At 44.7% G+C, this 18,489-nt stretch overlaps 1 protein-coding gene and 2 pseudogenes across 1 annotated transcript, besides 2 other annotated features; 2 read left to right on the plus strand and 1 right to left on the minus strand.

The window, feature by feature from the left end:
- Positions 1-3,052: 3,052 nt before the first annotated feature.
- LOC105375012 (uncharacterized) lies at positions 3,053-5,831 on the minus strand. Its single transcript, XM_047419620.1, has 3 exons — positions 5,509-5,831; positions 4,634-4,744; positions 3,053-3,450 (listed from the first exon to the last, which is right to left on the minus strand). The coding sequence occupies exons 1-3, from the start codon at positions 5,545-5,547 to the stop codon at positions 3,277-3,279; spliced, it is 324 nt and encodes a 107-aa protein (XP_047275576.1). The 5' UTR covers positions 5,548-5,831; the 3' UTR covers positions 3,053-3,276.
- Positions 8,144-8,887: an enhancer, noted in NCBI's record as "H3K4me1 hESC enhancer chr6:30433693-30434436 (GRCh37/hg19 assembly coordinates)". NCBI's record gives its function as "activates a minimal SCP1, AML or CMV promoter by ChIP-STARR-seq in naive H9 embryonic stem cells {active_cell/tissue: H9 hESC(naive)}" and the evidence as "EXISTENCE:reporter gene assay evidence [ECO:0000049][PMID:30033119]".
- Positions 8,453-11,099, plus strand: TMPOP1 (thymopoietin pseudogene 1; annotated as a pseudogene).
- Positions 11,106-13,150, plus strand: SUCLA2P1 (SUCLA2 pseudogene 1; annotated as a pseudogene).
- Positions 17,608-18,231: an enhancer, noted in NCBI's record as "NANOG-H3K27ac-H3K4me1 hESC enhancer chr6:30443157-30443780 (GRCh37/hg19 assembly coordinates)". NCBI's record gives its function as "activates a minimal SCP1, AML or CMV promoter by ChIP-STARR-seq in primed H9 embryonic stem cells {active_cell/tissue: H9 hESC(primed)}" and the evidence as "EXISTENCE:reporter gene assay evidence [ECO:0000049][PMID:30033119]".

Here is an 18,489-nt window from a genome sequence, read left to right on the forward strand (position 1 = left end):
CAGCTTGATCCATCAAAACCCCTGCCTAATATCAAACAATATCCACTTAAACCAGATGGTGTTATAAGTCATTAAACCTATTACAGAAGGACATAAAAAGCAAGGCCTCATTATTCCATGTACTCATCCTTCTAACACCCTAATTATACCTATTAAAAACCAAACAACTGGGATTAAAGGTTTGCTCAGGAATTCTGAGCAATAAACTATATAGTGATTCCAAGACATCAGTGGTTCCAAATCCCTATATCTCATTAAACTCACAACCTATTGATAGGAGGTTTTTCACTGTCATTGATCTATGAAGTGCATTCTTCAGTAATCCAGTGGATCAGGCCAGCCAGTATCTTTTTGCCTTTACCTTGGAAGGCCAACAATTCACCTGGACAGTAATGCCTCTTGCTTTTACTGAAAACCCTTCCTGTGTTTTTCAAATATTAAAGGAACACTTGGAGGAGATAGTTTCTCCTTAAGGTTCCACCTTACTACAATATATAGATGGCCGCCTTCTTTGCTCTGCTTCACAGATAGCCTATGAAAAAAATGGTGTACAACTGTTAAAGCAACTGACTGCTAAAGACCATGAAGTCTCTGACGAAAAATTGCAGCTAGTGAAAACTCAGAAGAAATATTTGGGACACTTAACTTCAGAAAATGGATTACATTTAGACCCAGATTGGCACTTTGTAATTTCTTCAGTCAAGAACCAAGTGCCACAGAAAAACACAGAATATTATAATGCTGTATTTGTGGTGTGTAAACTACTCGTGTCTTAAGTAGAAAGCATAAAAGGTGAACCAATAAAAAATAATAACTACAAGACTTTTCAACACATAGACGGTACAAGGCCAGCTGCAGTGGCTCATGCCTGTAATCCCAGGACATTGAGAGGCTGAAGTGAACAGATCATTTGAACTCAGGAGTTTCAGACTAGCCTGGGCAACATGGCAAAACCCAGTCTCTTTTAAAAAATGGAAAAAATTAGCTGGTTATGGTGGCACGTGTCTGTGGTACCACCTACTTAGGAGGCTGAGGTGAAAGGATTGCTTGTGCTTCGGAGGCAGAGGTTGCAGTGAGCTGAGATTGTGACACTGCACTCCAGGCTGGGTGACAGAGTGAGATCCTCATCTAAAAAAAGACATAGATGGTATAAGAAGATATAAATAGAAACAACAAAAAGTTAAAAAGAAAGAGGATGGAGTTAAAGTGTGAATTCTTATTACATATCTTTCGGTTTTTGTTTATACAAGCAGTGTTAAGTTTTTATCAGATTAAAATAATGGTTATAAGATATCTGCAAGCAGCCTGGTGATCTCAAATCATAAAAAATGCAACAGATATACAAAAAATAAACAACAGGAAATTAAATCATATCACCAGAGAATCACCTTCACTAAAAGGAAGACATAAAGGAAGGAAAGAAGGAAGAGAAAACAAGCAAAACAACGAGAAAACAAATAAGAAAATGTCCTTCTTTATCAATAATAACACTGAATGTAAATGGTCTAAACTCTCCAATCAAAAGAAATGGAGTGGTGGAATGAATAAAAAAAAAAAAAAAAAAGGACCCAATGATCTGTTGCCTACAAGAAACACACTCACCTATAAACACACACATAGACTGAAAATAAAGGGATGGAAAAAGATTGGTCATGCCAATGGAAATCAAAAAAGTGCAGGAGTAGCTATACCTATATCAGACAAAATAGATTTTAAGATAAAAACTATAAGAAGAGACAAAGAGGGTCACTATATAATGATAAAGGGGTCAATTCAGTAAGATGCTATAACAACTATAAATATACATACCCCAACACTGGAGCACCCAGCTGTATAAAGCAATTATTATTAGAGCTAAAGAGAAAGATAGATCTCAGTACAATCATAGCCAGAGACTTCAGCAGCCCCCGTTTCAGCATAGGACAGATCGTTTAGACAGAAAAGCACCAAAGAAACATTGGACTTGATCTGCACTATACATTAAATGGATCTAATAGATATTTACAGCATATTTCATCCAAGAGCTGCAGAATACACATATTTCTTCTCAGGACATGGATCATTCTCAAAGACAGGCCAAATATTTGGTCACAAAACAAGTCTTAGAACATTCAAAAAATTGAAATAATATCAAACATCTTCTCTGACAACAATGGAATAGAACTGGAAATTAATAACAAGAGGAATTTTGGAAACTATACAAACACATAGAAATTAAACAATATGCTCCTGAATGCCTGGTGGGTCAATGAAGACATTAGGAAAGAAATTTAAAAATTTTTTAGGGAGAGGGGTGGAGCAAGATGGCTAGATAGAAGACTTCACTAACCGTCCCCCTGCAACAAAGATACCAATCTAACAACTATCTACATTTAAAAAAAGACAAAATCACCTTCACTAGAAACAAAAGTTATGTGAGCATTCACAAAACCTGGTTTTTAACTTCATATAACTGAAAGAAACACTGAGAAGGGTAGGATGTTGTCCCGAATTGCCAATGCCGCCCCAGCCCCATCCTCCAGCAGCAGCCCTGCAGTGTGGAGAATCATGCACTTGGGAGAGGGAGAACACAGCGATTGTGACACATTGCGTTGAACTCAGTGGTGCCCTGATATAGAGTTATATTGGAAGAATGGAGCAATGAGTTTGGTGGTTGGGGTGGGGAAACAGGGAGGAAAGGAATGAAACAAACACTCGAGGGTAGAAGATGGTACCAGTCTGAGAATCAGGTGCCAGTTCTTTTCTACTGTGTGTCTAGTCACATTGGTGTAGACGTCCAGGCAGGAGGAGAAGCAAGTTGTAGGATCAGCTACATCTGGGCTTCCAAAGGTAATCTCAGGTGCCACCTCTCCTCCATACTTACTAGGAATCCCAGGCCCTTCCCTGAAGTGACACCATCCTGCATCCTTTGTACCCTGCTTTCCACTTCTTCTCACAGCCTTTCCCTCCCTCCCTCCTTCATTCTCCTGGCCAGGACCCACACTCACCCCACCTAACCTCTCTCTTTTGATCAGTCCCATAGTTTAGAAAAGAACAGAAATGCCAGCTGTGGTCAGGTGTTTTAAAAATTTATTCAGTGCTCTCTGGGCATGCATTTCAGGACAATAACATTGTTTCTGGTCTCAATGCACTTTCACCACATCTGATTTTCAACTATGTGAGTTAGGACACCTATATGGTCAATCAATCAACCAGGGAAAGAAACTAAGGTCCAGAGCCCTAAGGATGCTTGCCCAAATCACCCTGATTTTGGCAGAACAGGATCTTCCAAGGGCCTTAAGAGTCAGAGAAGACCGCAGCCCCTTGTGTTGTATTCTGCTGCATGCCGGGGAAACTGGATGGAAACGATTCAGATTCTTCCTGCATGAAAAGGACAACCTGTGTCCTTGGGAATCCTCCAGTGGCCCCAGTTGTTCCTGCTGGGTGTGACATCGATGCCCGAATCCAACCCTGTAAAATAGGGTGAAATTCAGATATTGCAAGTCATGAAAAATTTTCTCCTGATAGCAAAGTTGAAGGATAACAAAACTGAAGGAGGGAACATACCAAACAGAGGAGGAAGGAATATACAAAAAATAACAACAACAACAACATCAACCAACAACAAGAACAAAAAAAATACCAAGATATGGGATGTATGAAATCAGGCATCAACCCATGAAAAGGTGAAAGGGCAACAGGACCAGAAAGGAAGAGGGTCACCTGGGTGGGTGGACAGCAGAGGGGAAGCCATCTCCAAGAAGATGACCTTGACAACAGCCAACATAAGTTTAAAGGTATTGAGAAGACATTTACTCAACTAAGGAACAGTTGGTGAATTCATTTAAGGTTCATGGAAAGTAAGAAAATGAAAATACTAGGCAATGATCAAATCTTGAAAACTTCAGCATATGTGGAAAGAAAAACTAAGAGAGTTTACCATGTGGCTCAGGTCTGAGTAGCAGTCACGTAAGTCAGTAATTTTAACTCTGGCTCTCAATGCACTCAAAATCTCCACCTGCCTACACGAGGAGGATGAAAATGTGTGTGCTGGGGAAGGTACTATGGACAGAAGGGATATTGAAAAGTCAATACATAATATCTAAAATGGAAACATTTGAAGTGGCATAAATGTATATTATCAAGAGACATAAAGATAAAGAACAAAATATGAAGTAAAAGGCTTCCATGTGGTTGCTTGCCAGGAAGCTGGTGGCTAGGAAGGATTGAGAGAGAGTAGAGGGGAGACCATGTTTTGTAACAGGGGAAATGAAAGGGAAGCAGGTAGCACCTGGAGCCTGCCTCATGCAGAGAACAGGGTTCCACGCAGTGGTCCAGGATCTCAGGGATTTACTGTGGCTGAGGCCACCTGTCCCCAGGACAAGCCCTTGGCACTGAGTCTACTGAAATGTGAGGAGGGAGAAGAGGAGGCCTTCAGATATTTGACCTGAGCAGCCTGGCTTACTCTAGACTCTGTCTTGGCTCCTGGCCAGAGATTAATGTAGCAAATTGTCTCTAAATTCATCCAAGGGAGTGGAGTTCCTTCCCCTACTCCTTATCCCCTTCCACACCATCCTTTCTGGAAGTGTTATTGTGAACATGTTCTCGGATTTGTTTTTATCAGTGGAGAAACAGAAGACAGAAGAGCACTCACCCAGCAGAGCCAGAGGGAGGCAGTTCCAAAGACTCCAGTGGCCACCAGAGCCCACCAGGACCCAGGGCTGGAGGTGCACAGTGAGATCCTCAGCGCAGAGGGAGAAATCTCCTAAGAGTAGGAAGGAATAACAGAATTAGGAAGCGTTTCCTTACTTCACAGTGAGTGCAAACATGATGGGAAGGCATAGAGAAAAAGTAAGAAATTATAGGGAAACGTGCTTATTTAGGGGGAGGCGATACTGCGGGAGGGGTACACCAGACCCAGCACTGCCGTGGGGTAGGAGAAACAGGTATAACGCTTGACTAGAGAATGGATACTTGAGGATCAGTATAGTTACTAGATGAAGAGGACTACATACATTTTAAGGACATTGATGTACATTATAGTGTATCATTGGAAGTTAAGGGAAAAGAAAAGAAACTTCATAAATAAAAACAGGCTGCATGTGGTAAAATCAATAATCAGCCCTGGGACTTGTGTTTTCAAAACGCTTTATCCAGGTGTGACACCTCTGACATCCTGGATTCCCCACCCTCTAGCACCCAGTTCCCTCTCCTGTAATGAGACCAGGGTCAGGAGGAGAGATGGACAGATGGGCCCATGCTGAAGGCAGTCAGTCACCTGTGCCTGCAGATGAGAAACCGCCGCCTAACCTTTCTGAACCTCATGCGGAAAAAATGTTTGCACCACTAGCCTCCAGCACAGAGATTCCATCCCAGCTCAGTATTTAGTATTTAGAGATTTAGTATTTAGTATTTAGAGATTCCTAAATACCGAGGACTCTGCCCAGTCTGGTTTGACCATGCTCCTCCTTCCTCACACTGTGGGGCCCCAGCTTTCCCTCCCAATTCCACACCCCCAGATGCTGGTACCATGCTCAGGTTCATCGTGGACACCACTCCATCCGACATGGCAACACTTTTGATCCAGCCGCTTTGACAACCTCGTTCAGTCTCCTCTGGAGACAGCCACCCAGACCTTTGCTGATGAGCTGGGACTGAGGGGAAAAGGCCTGCGATCTCTGATGGGGTTGGCAATGGACACCAAAGTCGTCTTCTAAAGACCAAGTACGCTCTAACCACGGAAATCGTCTCTAACCACTGACTCCTCCAGAAAAGGAAGAAAGAAGCCTCTCTACACTAAGCTGAAACACTAAATACACTAAGTGTTGATTAAGTAGACTAGGTACACTAAGTGGTAAACTTGGTAAACTTAGAGCACTAAGTACACTAAGTACAATAAATGGTAAACTTGGTAAACTTAGAGCACTAAGTGCACTAAGTTCACTAAGTAATAATATTAGTACTAAGTGGTACACTAAGCTGAAACCGCAAACCGCAGCCATGGCAGAGGAACCTCAGCTTAAATAGTGTGGAGCGGCCACTGGTTTCCGCGGCTCGTAGTCGCGCCCGCGAGGAAACGCCAGGGAGGCTTCCTGCCCCGCCCAGCGGTGGCCCAGGGCACAGGGAACCACGGCTGCTTCTCTCCGAGGTTTGTGGCCTGAGAAACTCTCCGCTGCGAATCTGGGCTGGCCTCTCCGGGAAGCCTTGAAACTCAACTCCCGGGTGGGCCAGGAAGGCTGCCCGACTTGGGCAGCGCCGGCCGGAGCCTTCTTCAAAGCCGAGCTGTTCGCCGCCCTCGAGGCCCAGGCGAGCCTGGAGGAGGGACCGGGTGCGCTCAGATGGGGCCCTTGGTGACTGGCGACCCCATGAGCACCCACCCTCCAGCCTGGGGCGGGATGGCCCAATCGGGCGCTGTGGGGGTCCGTTTGGAAACCGCTCTCTGCTTTGAGGATACGCGGGGAGCTTCCCTGGAAGCTGTGAAGAGGGGCAGACACGAGGCCTCTGGCCAGCCGCGCCTCGGGTCCAGGCCTCCCTGTGTCCACATCTGGTCTCCCGGCTTTTCACAACAGTGACCTTGACAGCGCCCAGAGTCCGCTGCTTCCGTCCAGTCCGCTCTTCCCCTACGTGGCCAAGAGGACGCAGCACTGGCGGCTTCAGGAGGTGGCTGTGAGCGCGGGGCTGGGGCCAAGAGCAGAGGACCAGAGAGGAGTCTCCAAGCCACCACCGGCCCCGTCACCGGCTACCGGCTAGGTCAGGCCCCAGATTCGGGTTTGCCCAGCGGGCGCTCGGCGTCCACGCTCCCTCTCCACCTTCTTGCCTCTCTAAGGAGGACCTGGCCCACTAGGAAGCCCGGGGCGTTCTGTGAACTGGGTGGTCAAACACGGTGTGTGGGGAAGGGGCCAATTGAGATTAGACGTGAAAAACCGCGAACCTGGGGACCGCAGGGTTGGGGCCCAGGAGGGGCCCGAAGCTTCCATCTAAGACAGGTGACTAAGTGAGGGGCACAGGTGCAACAGAAAGAAAGACTGATTTGCAATTGACTTGTAGGTGTAATCGGTTTTAGTCCCTATTTGACCACCAGAGGTCTGCAGCTCTATCCTTGGTGAGTTCTGAAGGCCCCTGGGGAGAGCTGAGCCCAAGAGACTTTTTAATTCCACAGAAGAACTTCGCCTGAGGCAGGTCTCCTCTGTGCCCAGGGAAGGAAGGCTGGACGTGATGGTTTCTGAAAAAAGTTACACAGAGAAAAGGTCAAGTCCATTTTTGCTATCCTGTACTGAACACAGATCAATTAACTGGTCCCAGGATTGATAGCAACAGGCCTATAACTGGTCTCCTGGTTCCTATCCAGCCCTTCCCCCATAAAGGCAGAATCCTGTCCTCTTGGAACAGTGAATCCCCAGCAGAGGACCTCAGCTCCCAAGCTCCATTCAGCCTGGGCTCCCTGGAACCTGCTACCCTGCCCAGGAGCTGTCAACACCTGGAGTGCAGTGCAGGAAGAATGCAGGGGCGCTTGATGGGGAGGTGAGTGAGTGCAGATGGGGTTCCTGGAACTCCTTGGGCCCTTGGGGTAGCTCCCACTCAGGCTGTCCTGCAGGTCCTCACAAGGCCCACTACTGAGCAGGAAGAATGTCCCCAGGAGAGGCAAGAGGTGGGGCAAGGGCGAGTATGGGGTCCCTTGCATTTGCGGCAAAATGGAGAGGGAGATGAGAGGCAAGGAGTACTGGCCCTCACATGGAAACCTATAGCACACTGCCCAAAGGGAATGGGAAGGGAAACACAGCCACGCACGTCCACAGAAGACTTGGCAGATGGGAGAGGGTAGCTTTGAGGACTGAAATCCCTACTTCACAGGACTCTGGATACTTGGACACTTGCTTCCTCCTGTGCTTCTGTACGAATCTCAGGACTGTGGGACACTCTCTGCACTCTTATTCTTGTAATTCTCTTCTCTCCGGATGGCCTCCTTTCCCTTGGAGTGCAGCAGTGGCCATCAGATTCTTGGGCTGAAGGTCACTGGGTGACTGTGGGATTCTGGGGCCAGTTACTTCCCTTTCTTAGCCACCCCATGCTTTACAGAACTGAACTCCACAGTCATACTCATCTCTCCCAGTGAAGCTCAAAGGAATTATTAATAAAAAACACAAAAACATAAATGGAATGATGTTTATGGAACCAATTGATTAACGTGGAAAAGTATGGGCTTCCCAGTTTTCTGCCCTTCGTGAGAACTTAATCCTGAAACACTGATCTCATGTCAACCTTCTGCCTTAACTGGGAATTCCTGTGGCCAGTCTGTTCTAAGGGTATCCCGTGAGCCCCTAGGGATGGAGAACAGAAGGCCACTTTTCCTAAACACACACGTGGTTCTGTCCTGGCCAGATCAGTGGACTTCCAGTGTCCTTCCTGAGTCACACCGAGGTGAATTGCATAGACCAGAAACCCACATTTTAAAAAGAATAAAATAAAATAAGTGGCCTGTAGTGTGGGGGCTGGGGTTGGTGCGGGCTTCCGGCTTGGCCGCGGGTGTCTGCATCGTTCAGCCCCGGGGCTTTTGTGTCGGGTCTGGCCTGGCTTTCTGTCCGCAAGTTTTTGCCCTGCTCCGCGGCGCTCCTCCGGGGCGGGAGCCGCGAGGCCCGGGCGAGCTCGGGCGGGACCGGAGGCTGCGAAGGCTGCCGGGAGCGGGACTCGCAGCTCCTGGATATGCCAGCGTTCCTGGAAGACTCCTGGGTCCTGACGAAAGACAAGTTGATGAGTGAGTTGGTCGCCATTAAAGTGAGGCTCCCGGCCCGGAGCAGCGCAGAGACCAGGACGCGCAGCCTCGCCTGCAGCACTCGGCCCTACCTCTACCCCGCCGCTACCTCTACCCCGCCGCGGCGCCGACAGCGAGGGCCCCGCCTCCCCCAGCTGGCTCCAGAGCCAAGCCACCCACAGCAGGAAAGCCACGAAGAAAACAGTTCAACTCAGACCAAAAGATAAAGCTGATCTCGAGGTAACCGCGCTCACTAATGAAGATCTCGTGGACCCGCTTGCGAGGTATAAAGAGAAACCTAGTCCTACTGGAGAACAACCAGGAAGCGATGTGAGAAAAAAACCTTGAAACCGAAGGAACGAGGACGATCTGTCGCCCAGGCTGGCGTGCAGTGGCGCGATCTCGGCTCTCGGCTCACTGCGGCCTCCGCCTCCCGGGTTCAAGAGATTCTCGTGCCTCAGACTCCTGAGTGGCTAGAACCACAGGCATGCGCCACCTCGCCTGGCTACATTTTTTTTTTTTTTTTTTTTTTTTTTTTTTTTTTTTTTTTTTGTATTTTTGGTAGGGACGGGCTTTCCCCGTGTTGTCCAGGCTGGTCTCCAACTCCTGAGCTCAAGGGATCTGCCCATCTCGGCGGATTAACAATTTAATCTTCAGCAGAAAATGGAAGGCAGAATTGAAATAAAGGTTCTAATAGATACTGTGACAATGAAGAAGACTAGAGTAAAGATCAAGCTTGAGAAGACAGAACCACTAAAGGGCAGAGCAAAGACTCCAGTAACACTGAAGAAAAGAAGACTTGAGATAGTCAGAGCTATTCTCACGCTGGAATAACTGAGGCTGAACGCACAAGTGGAGCTTCAGAAGGCGGAGCTCTGCAGGCCTGGAGTAGGGAGTCTACCAGAGACCGGAGGAGAAGGCCAAGGAAGAGGGTGGAAACCAGAACATTTTCCAATAGACAGTGCAGTAATTTCAGAGAGTGCTCCCACAGCTGAAACTCTAATGGCTTCAGGACACAAAACCTTCGTTGTCAGTAGGATGACTGGAAATTTCAAGCATGCAGCTCCTATTCTGCAACTCAGTAAATTTTCAAACATACCCCAAACTCCAAAGAGACCACTGGGGTTGGGGGGGAACAGAATAAAGAAGAGTAGAAAGGGATATTCTTAAGGAAATGTTGCCCTATGAAGCATCTACACCAACAGGAATTGCTGCAGACCAGTCAAAGGGGCTACAGGCAGGCCATTAGAACTCACTGAGTTCAGGATGGCAGAATCTTTTTCATCTAAATATGTTCCTAAGTGTGTTCCCTTGGCAGATGTCAAGTCAGAAAAGACAAAAAAAGAATGAGCCATTTCTGTATGGACAAAAATTTTGCTGTTTGTTGTTGTAGTAGGTTTTGTTTGTTTGTTTTTTGGTCTATCAAGCTATAGAAACCAAACAAGGAAATCTTTTCTCTAACGTTCTTCCTGATGACTCTAGAAACCCAACTGAATGGAATCCATCTGGCACATTCAAGTTGGCCTCCTATTTTTAATAACTGTATTGAAAAACACTTGTGTACCCTTGTTGACTTAAATAGCTAAAAAAAAAAAAACAGGTGATTTCACCTCAATAAATGTAGTATTCCATGAAAAGCAAACAAAATATATATAAATGAACTTCATTAGAGTGTTTTTGAACTCTGGACTAGCAGGAGATCACTTCATGCCATATGAAAATCTTTTATAGCTCTGAAACTTTTTTGTAGGCTTTTTAAAATTTTTTCTTCTCATTGTCCAAACCCATGCAGGGTTTCTTTAAAATGTGGACACCTGGTTTCCTTTTTGAAAAATGAGATATATATATATATATATATATATACATATATATATACACACACACACACACATATATATACATATATACACATATATATACATATATACACACATATATATACATATATACACACATATACATATATACACATATATACATATATACACATATATACATATATACATATATACACATATACATATATACACATATATACATATATACATATATATACATATATACATATATACGTATATATACGTATATATACATATATATACATATATATACGTATATATATGAAACAAGAAGGGAAAAACATGGTAATATAGTATGAAGTTACACATTTAAATACTTTGAATTCTTACAGAAAAGAGTGGAAGAATTATCTTCTACTGAATAAAAACTTTACAGACATGGAAGACAATGAAATTTGGTAAGAGAAAAAGTAACATGGTTGTACTTTTTGTAACTGCAACGAAATTTGATGGTGTTTATGAGGAAAACTACAGCAATAATCTCTTCTGTAACTTTTATTAATAGTAATGTTAGACTCAGAAATGGTGGCCTCCATGTTCTTCCGCCCGCTGTTGGTGGCCGCCACCCTTCGGACCACACTGCGGGCTGCTGCTCAGGTTCTGGGAAGTTCTGGATTGTTTAATAACCATGGACTCCAAGTACAGCAGCAACAGCAAAGGAATCTCTCACTACATGAATACATGAGTATGGAATTATTGCAAGAAACTGGTGTCTCTGTTCCCAAAGGATATGTGGCAAAGTGACCAGATGAAGCTTATGCAATTGCCAAAAAATTAGGTTCAAAAGATGTTGTGATGAAGGCACAGGTTTTAGCTGGTGGTAGAGGAAAAGGAACATTTGAAAGTGGCCTCAAAGGAGGAGTGAAGATGGTTTTCTCTCCAGAAGAAGCAAAAGCTGTTCCTTCACAAATGATTAGGAAACAGTTGTTTACCAAGCAAATGGGAGAAAAGGGCAGAATATGCAATCAGGTATTGGTCTGTGAGTGAAAATATCCCAAGAGAGAGTGCTACTTTGCAATAACAATGGAAAGGTCATTTCAAGGTCTTGTATTAATAGGAAGTTTACATAGTGGGGCCAACATTGAAGATGTTGCTGCTGAGACTCCTGAAGCAATAATTAAAGTACCTATTGATATTGTAGAAGGTATCAAAGAGGAATAAGCTCTCCAGCTTGCACAGAAGATGGGATTTCCATCTAATATTGTGGCTTCAGCAGCAGAAAACATGATCAAGCTTTACAGCCTTTTTCTGAAATACGATGCAACCATGATAGAAATAAATTCAATGGTGGAAGATTCAGATGGAGCTGCATTGTGTAAGGATGCAAAGATCAATTTTGACTCTAATTCAGCCTATCGCCAAAAGAAAATGTTTGATCTACAGGACTGGACCCAGGAAGATGAAAGGAACAAAGATGCTGCTAAGGCAGATCTCAACTACACTGGCCTCGATGGAAGTATAGGCTGCCTAGTAAATGGTGCTGGTTTGGCTATGGCCACAATGGATATAATAAAACTTCATGGAGAGACTCCAGCTAATTTCCTTGTTGGTGGTGGTGCTACAGTCCATCAAGTAACAGAAGCATTTAAGCCTATCACTTCAGATAAAAAGGTACTGGCTATTCTGGTCAACATTTGTGGAGGAATCATGCACTGTGATATTACAGCAAAGGGTATAGTCATGGCAGTAAAAAGTTTGGAAATTAAAATACCTGTTGTGGTACAGTTACAAGGTACACAAGTTGATGATGTTAAGGCACTAAAAGCAGACAGTGGACTTAAAATACTTGCTTGTGATGATTTGGTGGAAGCTGCTAGAGTGCTTGTAAAGCTCTCTGAAATAGTGAAGCAAAGCAAGCGCATGTGGATGTGAAATTTCAATTGCCAATATGATCTGAAAACCCAGTGATGGCTGAAGGTGTTAAATGTGCTACAATCATTAAGGATACTGTGTTCTGTGTTATTGTTCTTTTAAGTGTGTGGAGATTGTAGTTGCCATCTAGGCACACAAACATTTAAAAGCATTTGGTTTGCATTTAATTCTACCATTCAGAATGGACTGTTTGTAAGAAGCATGTATAATGCAAATATCTTCTTTATTTCGTCACAGCCAGTCTTTTTTGCTTCTACAAAATGCAACTTGCAATATGACAGTTTATTATTGTTGGATACAAAGTTCTTCATTGATAAGAGACCTACAAATAAAATAAATATGAAGATAAAGCTTTATTCTTCAGTGTTAACATACAGTATATCTAATAACTAGCCTCATTAGTAGACCAGTATATTAAAACACTGTTTTATGTAAAAAGTGTTTATCTTCAGCACCAAATACATAATAAATGTAACAATCACTATTTATAAACAGAGCTTTCAAACACTCCTCAGAAAATCAAAATACTTCTAAGTATTTTGATGAAGTAACTTTGTAATTATGTGAACATTGTTTTAATCATTAGGAAACGCTGATAACTGCAAGAATTCATGATTCCATGGTATTAAGAAGCACCTGTAGGTTTGTTTCAAATAGAGGCATATTAACCAAGGGAAAAAAATAGTAATGTTATTATTGTAGCCCTATCATATTCACTTTTTAAACGACTGGCTTTTAAAAGTATCATGAAAGTCCTACTTCAGTAAAACCCATTTAAGTACAGTTGATGTTTAGCAGGGATCTTTTAGTGCAGCATAAACATGCTTTAGAGAACTGTTGGCTGGCTGTACATGTTTTTAAAAGCTGTTAGCTAGCTATGAGGCTACAGCTGAAAATTACACTTTTTATGAGAAATTGTAAACACTGGTCTTATGTTTCATCTGGATTCCTTATTGCATCATCTTCTGTTAACAAAAACAAATTTTCCCAGTTTTTTTGCCTTGTATTTCCCAGCACAATTTCATTTAAAAGTACAAAAAGTGTTTGCTCTCAAATTGCATCATAAGCAAGTGTTAATACTCTGGGCTTTTTTATGTTTGTTTGTTTGTTTGTTTTTTGAGATGGAGTCTCGCTCTATTGCCCAGGCTGGAGTGCAGTGGTGCTATCTCGGCTCACTGCAAGCTCGGCCTCCCGGGTTCACGCCATTCTCCTGACTCAGCCTCCCAAGTAGCTGGGACTACAGGCGCCCGCCACTACGCCCGGCTAATTTTTTGTATTTTTAGTAGAGACGGGGTTTCACCGTTTTAGCCGGGATGGTCTCGATCTCCTGACCTCGTGATCCGCCCGCCTCGGCCTCCCAAAGTGCTGGGATTACAGGCGTGAGCCACCGCGCCCGGCCTGAAGGACACCCTTAGAGAAGTGCAAAATACTATGGCAGGTTTCAACAATAGAATCAAACAACTAGAAGAAAGAACTTCAGAGCTCTAAGACAAGGCTTTCAAATTAACTCTGACAAAAACAAAGAAAAAAGAATCAAATGAACAAAGCCTCCAAGAAGTTTGGGATCATGTTAAATGACCAAACTTAAGAATAATTGATGTTCCTGAGGAAGAAGAGAAATCTGCAAGTTTGAAAATTTTATTTGAGGGAATAATTGAGGAAAACTTCCCTGGCCTTGCTACAGATTTGGACATTCAAATACAAGAAGCTCAAAGAACACCTGGGAAATTCATCTCAAAAAGATCATCACCTAGACACATAGTCATCAGGTTATCTAGGGTCAAGATGAAGGAAAGAATCTTAAGAGTTGTGAGGCAAAGGCATCAAGTAACCTGTAAAGGAAAACCTATCGGATTAACAGCAGATTTATCAGCAGAAACCCTACAAGCTAGAAGGGATTGGGGTCCAATCTTTAGACACTTAAACAAAATAATTATCAACCCAGAATTTTGTATCCAGTAAAAGTGATGAAGGAAAAGATAAAGTATTTTTCTTTTTTTTTTTTTTTGGGACGGAGTCTTGCTGTCACCCAGGCTGGGGTGCAGTGGCACAATCTCAGCTCACTGCAAGCTCCGCCTCCTGGGTTCATGCCATTCTCCTGCCTCAGCCTCCCAAGTAACTGGGACTGCAGGCGCCCACCACCACGCCCAGCTAATTTTTTGTATTTTTAGTAGAGATGGGGTTTCATCATGTTAGCCAGGATGCTCTCCATCTCCTGACCTCATGATCCGCCTGCCTCAGCCTCCCAAAGTGCTAGGATTACAGGCATGAGCCACTGTGCCCAGCGGAAAGATAAAGTATTTTTCATACAAACAAATGCTGAGAGAATTTGCCACTAACAAGCCAGCACTATAAGAACTACTAAAAGATGTTCTAAATCTTGAACCAAAATCTTGAAATATACCAAAATGTGACCTGCTTAAAGCATAAATCTCACAGGGCCTATAAAATAATCACACTACAAAAAAAAAAAAAAAGGTATTTAGGCAACAACTAGCATAATGAATAGAATAGTACCTCACATCTCAATACTAACACTCAATGTAAATGGCCTAAATGCTCCACTTGAAAGATATGGAATTGCAAAATGGATAAGAATTCCCCAACTAAGTATTTGCTGTCTTCAAGAGACTCACCTAACACATAAGGACACATACAAACTTAAGATAAAGTGATGGAAAAAGATGTTCCATGCAAATGGGCACCAAAAGCAAACAGGAGTAGCTATTCTTCTATCAGAAAAAATAGACTTTAAAGCAACAACAGTTTAAAAAGACAAAGAGGGACATTATATAATGACAAAAGGACTAGTCTGACAGGAAAATATCACAATCCTAAATATATGTGCACCTAATACTGGAGCTCCTAAATTTATAAAACAATTACTACTAGACTTAAGAAATGAGATAGATGGCAACACAACAATAGTGGGGGATGTTAATACTCTACTGACAGCACTAGACAGGTCATCAAGATAGAAAGTCAACAAAGAAACAATGGACTTAAACTCTACCCTAGAACAAATGGATTTAACAGATATTTATAGAACACTCCACCCAACAACTGCAGAATGTACATTCTATTCATTAGCACATGGAACATTCTCCAAGATAAATCATATGATAGGCCACAAAACAAGTCTTAACAAATTTGAGAAAATTGAAATTATGTCAGGTACTCTCTCAGACCACAGTGAAATAAAATTGGAAATCAACACCAAAAGGAGCCCTCAAAACCATGCACATACGTGGAAATTAAGTAACCTGCTCCTGAATGATCAATGGATCAACAATACAATCAAGATGGAAATACAAAAATTCTTTGAACTGGCCTGTGTGGTGGCTCAATCCTGTAATCCCCACACTTTGGGAGGCCAAGGTGGGTGGATCACCTGAGGTCAGGGATTTGAGAGCAGCCTGACTGATATGGTGAAACCTTGTCTATACTAAAAATACAAAAATTAGCTTGGTGTGGTGGTGGGTACCTGTAGTCCCAGCTACTCAGGAGGCTGAGACAGGAGAATTGCTTTGCTTGAACCCGGGAGGTAGAGATTGCAGTGAGGCGAGATGGTGCCACTGCACTCTAGCCTGGGTGACAGAGCAAGACTCTGTCTCCAAAAAAAAAAAAAAAAAAATTCCTTGAACTGAATGATTATAGTGACCGAACCTATCAAAACCTCTGGGATACAGAAAAAGCAGTGCTAAGAGGAAAGTTCATAGCATTAAATGCCTACATCAAAAAGTCTGAAAGAGCACAAATAAACAATCTAGGGTCGCACCTCCAGGAACTAGAGAAACAAGAACAAACCAAACCCAAATGAGCAGAAGAAAAAAAAATAACCTAGATCGGAGCAAAACTAAATGAAATTGAAACAAAAAATTACAAAAGATAAATGAAACAAAAAGCTGGTTGTTTGAAAAGATAAATCAAATTGATAGACAATTAGTAAGATTAACCAAGAAAAGAAGGAAGAAGATTCAAATAAGCTCAATTAGAAACAAAACAGAAGATATTACAACCAATACCACAGAAATACAAAAGATCATTCAAGGCTACTATGAACACCTTTATGCACATAAACTAGAAAACCTAGAGGACATGGATAAATTCCTGAAAATATACAACCCTCCTAGATTAAACCAGGAAGAAATGGAAACCCTGAACAGGCCAATAACAAGCAGTGAGATTGAAATGGTAATTTAGGCTCTACCTCTCCCCCTCCCCCTCCCCCTCCCCCTCCCTCTCCCTCTCCCCACAGTCTCCCTCTCCCTCTCTTTCCACGGTCTCCCTCTGATGCCAAGCCGAAGCTGGACTGTACTGCTGCCATCTCGGCTCACTGCAACCTCCCTGCCTGATTCTCCTGCCTCAGCCTGCCGAGTGCCTGCAATTGCAGGCGCGCGCCGCCACGCCTGACTAGTTTTCGTATTTTTTTGGTGGAGACGGGGTTTCGCTGTGTTGGCCGGGCTGGTCTCCAGCTCCTAACCGCGAGTGATCTGCCAGCCTCGGCCTCCCAAGGTGCCAGGATTGCAGACAGAGTCTCGTTCACTCAGTGCTCAATGGTGCCCAGGCTGGAGTGCAGTGGCGTGATCTCGGCTCGCTACAACCTCCACCTCCCAGCCGCCTGCCCTGGCCTCCCAAAGTGCTGAGATTGCAGCCTCTGCCCGGCCGCCACCCCATCTGGGAAGTGAGGAGTGTCTCTGCCTGGCCGTCCATCGTCTGGGATGTGAGGAGCCCCTCTGCCTGGCTGCCCAGTCTGGAAAGTGAGGAGCGTCTCTGCCCGGCCGCCATCCCATCTAGGAAGCGAGGAGCGCCTCTTCCCGGCCTCCATCCCCATCTAGGAAGTGAGGAGCGTCTCTGCCCGGCTGCCCATCGTCTGAGATGTGGGGAGCACCTCTGCCCCGCCGCCCCGTCTGGGATGTGAGGAGCGCCTCTGCCCTGCCGCGACCCCGTCTGGGAGGTGAGGAGCGTCTCTGCCCGGCCGCCCCGTCTGAGAAGTGAGGAGACCCTCTGCCTGGCAGCCGCCCCGTCTGGGAAGTGAGGAGCGTCTCCGCCCGGCAGCCACCCTGTCTGGGAGGGAGGTGGGGGTCAGCCCCCGCCAGGCCAGCCGCCCCATCCAGGAGGGAGGTGGGGGTGTCAGCCCCCCGCCCGGCCAGCCGCCCCCTCCGGGAGGGAGGTGAGGGGCTCCTCTGCCTGGCCGCCCCTAATGGGAAGTGAGGAGTCCCTCTGCCCGGCCACCACCCCGTCTGGGAGGTGTACCCAACAGCTCATTGAGAACGGGCCAGGATGACAATCGCGGTTTTGTGGAATAGAAAGAGGGGAAAGGTGGGGAAAAGATTGAGAAATCGGATGGTTGCCGTGTCTGTGTAGAAAGAAGTAGACATGGGAGACTTTTCATTTTGTTCTGTACTAAGAAAAATTCTTCTGCCTTGGGATCCTGTTGATCTGTGACCTTACCCCCAACCCTGTGCTCTCTGAAACATGTGCTGTGTCCACTCAGGGTTAAATGGATTAAGGGTGGTGCAAGATGTGCTTCGTTAAACAGATGCTTGAAGGCAGCATGCTCGTTAAGAGTCATCACCACTCCCTAATCTCAAGTACCCAGGGACACAAACACTGCGGAAGGCCGCAGAGTCCTCTGCCTAGGAAAACCAGAGACCTTTGTTCACTTGTTTATCTGCTGACCTTCCCTCCACTATTGTCCTATGACCCTGCCAAATCCCCCTCTGTGAGAAATACCCAAGAATGATCAATAAAAAAAAAAAAAAAAATGGTAATTTAAAAAATTACCGGCCGGGCGCAGTGGCTCACGCCTGTAGTCCCAGCACTTTGGGAGGCCTAGGCGGGCAGATCACCTGAGGTCGGGAGTTTGAGACCAGCCTGACCAACATGGAGAAACTCCGTCTCTTCTAAAAATACAAAAAAATTAGCCAGGGGTGGTGGTACATGCCTGGAATCCCAGCTACTCGGGAGGCTGAGGCAGGAGAATCACTTGAACCCAGGAAGTGGAGGTTGCAGTGAGCAGAGACCGTG

The sequence above is a fragment of the Homo sapiens genome, chromosome 6, assembly GCF_000001405.40.
Source record: "Homo sapiens chromosome 6, GRCh38.p14 Primary Assembly".
Lineage (NCBI taxonomy): Eukaryota > Metazoa > Chordata > Mammalia > Primates > Hominidae > Homo > Homo sapiens.

Bases quoted from the DNA above. Each gene is read 5' to 3' on its own strand.
- LOC105375012 (XM_047419620.1), bottom strand. From the start codon at position 5,547: ATGTCGGATGGAGTGGTGTCCACGATGAACCTGAGCATG. The intron at 4,745-5,508 runs GTACCAGCATCT...TCCTACTCTTAG, and splicing joins CCACGATGAACCTGAGCATG to GAGATTTCTCCCTCTGCGCT. The intron at 3,451-4,633 runs GTGAGTGCTCTT...CCTATTTTACAG, and splicing joins CCTCCCTCTGGCTCTGCTGG to GGTTGGATTCGGGCATCGAT.